General features: G+C 42.2%; 1 long non-coding RNA gene and 1 pseudogene across 3 annotated transcripts in view; one reads left to right on the top strand and one right to left on the bottom strand.

Annotated features, from left to right (window-relative positions):
* Positions 1–6,004, top strand: part of TBC1D3P1-DHX40P1 (TBC1D3P1-DHX40P1 readthrough, transcribed pseudogene) — a 56,690-nt pseudogene that overhangs the window by 43,925 nt on the left and 6,761 nt on the right. The window lies entirely within an intron of this gene.
* RNFT1-DT (RNFT1 divergent transcript) overlaps positions 1–6,004 on the bottom strand; it is a 31,877-nt gene that overhangs the window by 21,845 nt on the left and 4,028 nt on the right. The window contains exon 3 of one of the 2 annotated variants that reach the window (NR_110816.1): positions 2,027–2,293. The exons of the other annotated variant lie outside the window; for it this stretch is intronic. This is a non-coding gene — a long non-coding RNA (RNFT1 divergent transcript). Of the gene's footprint in view, positions 1–2,026; positions 2,294–6,004 lie in introns of those variants that run through there. 2 annotated transcript variants of the gene reach the window in all.

Raw genomic sequence — 6,004 nt, 5'->3', positions numbered from 1 at the left:
GCCTCCCAAAGTGTTGGGATTACAGGTGTGAGTCACCGCACCTGGCCACAAATAGTGCTTTGTATCCATGGGTTCCACATCTGTGGTTTCTGCATCTGTGGATTCAGCCAACCAAGGACTGAAAATATTTAGGGGCAGGCCAGGCATCGTGGCTCACTTTGGGAGGCCGAGGTGGGCAGATCACTTGAGGTCAGGAGTTCGAGACCAGCCTGGCCAATATGGTGAAACCCAGTCTCTACTAAAAATACAAAAACTAGCTGGGCATGGTGGCACACACCTGTAATCTCAGCTACTCGGGAGGCTGAGGCAGGACAGTCACTTGAACCTGGGAGGCAGAAGTTGTACTGAGCTGAGATCATGCCACTGCACTCCAGCCTTGTGACAGAGTGAGAATCCACCTCAAAAAAAAAAAAAAAAACTGGGGGAGTGGATAAAAGGATGGTTGTGTCTGAACTAAACATGTATAGACTTTTTTTCCTTATTATTCCCTAAGTAATAATAGTATAATTACTATTTATATAACAATTGCTTTGTATTAAATATTTTAAGTAATCTAAGATGATTTAAAGCATATGGGTATGCATAGATTATATGCAAATACTGCATCATTGTATATAAGGGACCGGAGCATCCATGGATTTTGGTGTCCACATGGGGTCCTGGAACCAATTCCCTAGAGATACTAAGGGATGACTGTATCCACTCCCTTCTCGGATGAGGAAATGGTGACTGAGCATTTATTATTCTCTTAAGTTTGTACTTGTGCGTATGTGGGTGACTATATAGGTGTCCCCATTTTCACAGCAATATCTGAAGCTGTAAGATTCATAAAGAAGTAGCAGCTTGCCTGTAAAGAAAGCCTACAGAAGTGGGGAAATCAGTAGAATATGAAAGTTTAGGGAAGAAAGATTCCAGGAGGTGGGAACAACCTATAGCGTAGAATGCTGCAAAAATGTCAAGCAGGATGAGGTTTGAAAAGTGTCCATTCATTCGTTTATTCCATAAATATTTATTGGCCACTTAGTATATGCCAAGAACTATATTAGGCATTAGATACAGTAATAAACAAAGCCAGGCCGGGTGCAGTGGCTCATGCCTGTAATCCTAGCACTTTGGGAGACAGAGTCGGGCAGAACACCTGACATTAGGAGTTGAGACCAGTCTGACCAACACAGCAAAACCCCGTCTCTACTAAAAATGCAAAACTTAGCCAGGAGTGGTGGCACATGCCTGTAATCCCAGCTACTTGGGAAGCTGAGTCAGGAAAATCACTTGAACCCAGGAGGCAGAGGTTGCAGTGAGCCAAAATCACACCACTGCACTCCAGCCTGGGTCACAAAGTAAGACTCCGTTGCAAAAATATAAAAATAAAAACAAAGCACATGTTGCCCAGTGGCTTCCGGAAGTTCCTGGTCCACAACGTCAAGGAGCTGGAAGTGCTGCTGATGTGCAACAAATCTTACTGTGCCGAGATCACTCACCATGTTTCCTCCAAGAACCGCAAAGCCATCGTGGAAAGAGCTGCCCAACTGGCCATCAAAGTCACCAACCCCAATGCCAGGCTGCGCAGCAAAGAAAATGAGTAGACAGCTCGTGTGCATGTTTTCTGTTTAAATAAAAGTAAAAACTGCCAAAAAAAAAAAAAAAAGAAACCCTGTCTCTACTAAAAATACAAAAATTAGCTGGGCATGGTGGTGGGTGCCTGTAATACCAGCTACTCAGGAGGCTGAGGCAGGAGAATCACTTGAACCCGGGAGGCGGAGGTTGCAATGAGCCAAGATTGCGCCGTTGCACTCCAACCTGGGCGACAAGAGCGAAACTCCATCTCAAAAAAACAAACAAACAAAAAAGAGAGCAATTGTCCAATCTGAAGAACAGAGAAAAATAGATTAAAAAGAAAATGAACAGAGAGCCTCAGGAACATGTGGGGCAATATTAGATGGTCTAATGTTCACATAATTGGAGTTCTAGAAGGAGAGGTGTATTTGTTTCCTGTAAATGCTGCACCAAGTGATCACAAACTTAGTAGCTGAAAAGAACAGAAATTTATTCTTTCTCAGTTCTATAGGCCAGAAGTCTAAAATCAAAGTGTTGGCAGGGCTGCATTGCCTCTGGAGGCTGTAGGGGAGAGTCCATTCCTTGCCTTCTTCCAGCTTCTGGCAGCTGTCAGCATTCCTTGGCTTGTGGCCATATATCTCTCTGCTCCATCTTCACATGGCTTTCTTTTCTGTGTCTCTATTGCCTCTTTTGCCTCTCTCTTATAAGGACACTTGGGATGGTATTCAGGACCCACCTGAAAAATCCAAGGTAACCGACTCCTCTCAAAATCCTTAATTACATCAGCAAAGACCCTTTTTCCAAATAAAATAATATTTATGAGTTTCAGGAATTAAAACTTGACATCTTTGGGTGGGTATTATTCAGATACTATGACAGAGAGAGATACCTGCAGAAAAAAATACATTACAAGGTATGTATTGTACATACATTGATTTGAGTGACTGTGGATTTCTTATTAGAAACCTTGAGGAGTAGAAACAGTGGAATATCTTTTTTTTTTTTTAAATTGAGACGGAGTCTCGTTCTGTCGCCCAGGCTGAAGTGCAGTAGCACGATATCAGCTCATTGCATCCTGGGTTCAAGCAATTCTCCCACCTCTGCCTCCAGAGTAGCTGGGATTACAGGCGCATGCTACCATGCTCACCTAATTTTCTTATTTTTAGTAGAGATGGGGTTTCACCATGTTGGCCAGGCTTGTCTAGAACTCTTGACCTCAAGTGGTCCACCCACCTCGGCCTCCCAAAATTCTGGGGTTACAGGTGTGAGCCACCGTGCCCGGTGTGGAATATCTTTAAATTGCTAAAACAAACTGTCTACCCGGAATTAGATATCAATGAAAATATCCTTCATTAATGAAGGGAAAACTAAAGATATTCTCAAATGAAGAAAAACTAAGATAATTCATTGGCAGCAGACCTATACTAATAGAAAATATCAAAGGTGCCAGGCACAGTAGCTCATGTCTGTAATCCCAGCACTTTGGCACTTTGAGAGGCCGAGGTGGGAGGATCATATATAAAATTATATGCTTGGTTGAGTGTGGTGACTCATGCCTGTAATCCCAGCACTTTGGGAGATCAAGGTGGGAGGATCACTTGAGCACAGGAGTTCAAGACCAGCCTGGGCAACATAGTGACATCCCATCTGTACAAAAAATTTTAGAACTCAGCTGGGTGTGGCAGCATGCACATGTAGTCCCGGAAACTTGGGAGGCTGAGGAGGGAGGATCACTTGAGCTTGGGAGTTCAAGGCTGCAGTGATTCCCAGACTGCACCACTGCACTCCAGCCTGGGTGATAGAGCAAGACTCTGTCTCAAAATAAATTAATCAAATTAAATGATATGCTTATATTAGAAAGTAAATAAAACTAAAATAAATGAAACCAAATTGTATTGAAAATACCAATAAAATAGATAAACTTTTAGTGATACTGACCAAGAAAAAAACAAAGATGACATAGATTACCAATACCAGCAATGAAAGTGCTAATGTCAATACAGAACCTACAGATGTTAAACGGCTAATAAGAGAATATTATGAATAACTTTATGCCAATTCCTTCAAGCTCACTTAAGAAGAAATATATAACCTGAATAATTCTACAGTGATTAAAGAAACTGAAATTTGTAGTTTACAACCTTTCCATAAAAAAAAAAAAAAAAAATTCTAGGCCAGATGGCCTCACTGGCAAATTCTACCAAACATTTAAGTAAGAAATGATATCAATTCAACACAATCTCTTCTACAAACAGGAAACATTTTCCAGTTCAGGCCAGCATTATCCTGACATCAACAACAGTTAAAGACATTGTAAGAAAACCAGTATCTCCCATAAACAGAGATGCAAAAATCTCCCACAAAATATTAGTAAAATGAACGCAATATATAAAAAGGGTAATACACTACAACTCCGTGGAGTTTATCCTTGAACTGCAAGGCTGGCTTAACATTTAAAAATCAATTGATAGGCTGGGCATAGTGGCTCACGCCTGTAATCCCAGCACTTTGGGAGGCCAAGGCGGGTACATTACCAGAGGTCAGAAGTTCGAGACCAGCCTGGCCAACATGGTGAAACCCTGTCTCTACTAAAAATACAAAAATTAGCCAGGCATGGTGGCACACACCTGTAATCCCAGCTACTCGGGAGGCTGAGGCAGGAGAATTGCTTGAGCCTGGGAGATGGAGGTTGTGGTGAGCTGAGATCATGCCACTGCACTCCAGCCTGGAGGATAGAGCAAGACTCTGTCTCAAACAAACAAACAAACAAAAAAATCAATTGATAAATTTCTAAAAATATAAAAATTAGCCGGGCATGGTGGTGCATGCCTGTAATCCCAGCTACTCGGGAGGCTGAGGCATGAGAATTGCTTGAACCTAGGAGGCAGAGGTTGCAGTGAGCTAAGATCGTACCACTGCACTCCAGCCTGGGCAACAGAGGGAGACTCTACATCCAAAAAAAAAAAAAAGACAAAAGAAAATTTCACCATATCAACAGGCTAAATAAGAAAAATTGTATGATTTTTTAATAAAGGCAGAAAAAGATTTGTCAAAATTCAGTATCCACTCATGATAAAAATTCTTAGCAGACTAGGAGTAGAAGGGAATTAATTTACTTGACCTGATAGATGACACCTACAAAAAAAACTAGAGGCCAAGCACGGTGGCTCACACTTGTAATTCCAGCACTTTGGGAAGCCAAGGCAGCAGATCACCTGAACTCAGGAGTTCGAGACCAGCCTGGCCAACATGGTGAAACCCCATCTCTACTAAAAATACAAAATTAGCCAGGTGTGGTTGCCGACACCTGTAATCCCAGCTACTGGGGGGGCTGAGGCTGGAGAATTGCTTGAAACTGGGAGGTGGAAATTGCAGTGAGCCGAGATCACACCAATGCACTTCTAGCCTGGGCGACAGAGCAAGACTCCAGCTCAAAAAAAAGAAACAAACAGGCCAGGCGTGGTGGCTCACACCTGTAATCCCAGCACTTTGGGAGGCCAAGGCAGGTGGATCACCTGAGGTCAGGAGTTCGAGACCAGCCTGGCCAACATGGAGAAACCCCATCTCTATTAAAAACACAAAAAAATTAGCCGGGCGTGGTGGCAGGCGCCTGTAATCCCAGCTACTCAGGAGGCTGAGGCAGGAGAATCGCTAGAACCCTGGGGGCAAAGGTTGCAGTGAGCTGAGATGACACAACTGCACTCCAGCCTGGGCAACAGAGTGAGACTCTGTCTCAAAAAAAAAAAAAAAAAAAAAAGGAAAAAGGAAACAAACAAATGAGCAAAACTTACAACTGACATACTTAATGGTAAAAGGCTGAATGTATTCCCCTTAAAATCAGGAGCACGGCACAGATGTCTACTGTCACCATTCCTATTTAATTTATTCATAACATCACATTGGCAGTTACAGTTAATACAATAAAGCAAGAAATAAAAGGCATAGGCATCAGAAAGGAAGAAGCTGTTTCTATTTGTAGACAACACTGTCTACAAAGAATCTACAAAAAAAGGCTCTGAAAATGCATAAATGAGGAATGGGCAATGTTATTCAAAGCCACAGCTTTTACTTCAAATTTTCTGTCTCCAGATCCTTATATCAAATCGCCAACTGGATATCTTCACCTGTGTGTTTCCCAGGAACTCCTAAGACTCAGTGTTTCCAAGCCAAATTTACTGATATCTCTCCAAACTTGGTCTTTCAAAAAAATTCCCTATTCATCTGGTAATGCCACCAGTTTACTTATTCTAACATAGCTTCCTAATATTGATTTATCCATCCATCCATGCTAAAAAATGAAGATTTGTCCTAGACTATTTCTCTTATCTGCCCCATATGCTTGGTCAGTTAGGCTATCAGTTAATCTTGTTATGAAACCAACTGCCCCACACCTAGAGGCTTAAAAGAAAATAATCTATAGGCCGGGTGCGCTGGCTCATGCCTGTAA

The sequence above is a fragment of the Homo sapiens genome, chromosome 17 (genome assembly GCF_000001405.40).
Source record: "Homo sapiens chromosome 17, GRCh38.p14 Primary Assembly".
Taxonomy (NCBI): domain Eukaryota; kingdom Metazoa; phylum Chordata; class Mammalia; order Primates; family Hominidae; genus Homo; species Homo sapiens.
The sequence above is the reverse complement of the archived record's forward strand: the minus strand, read 5'-3'. Positions and strand labels throughout refer to the sequence as shown.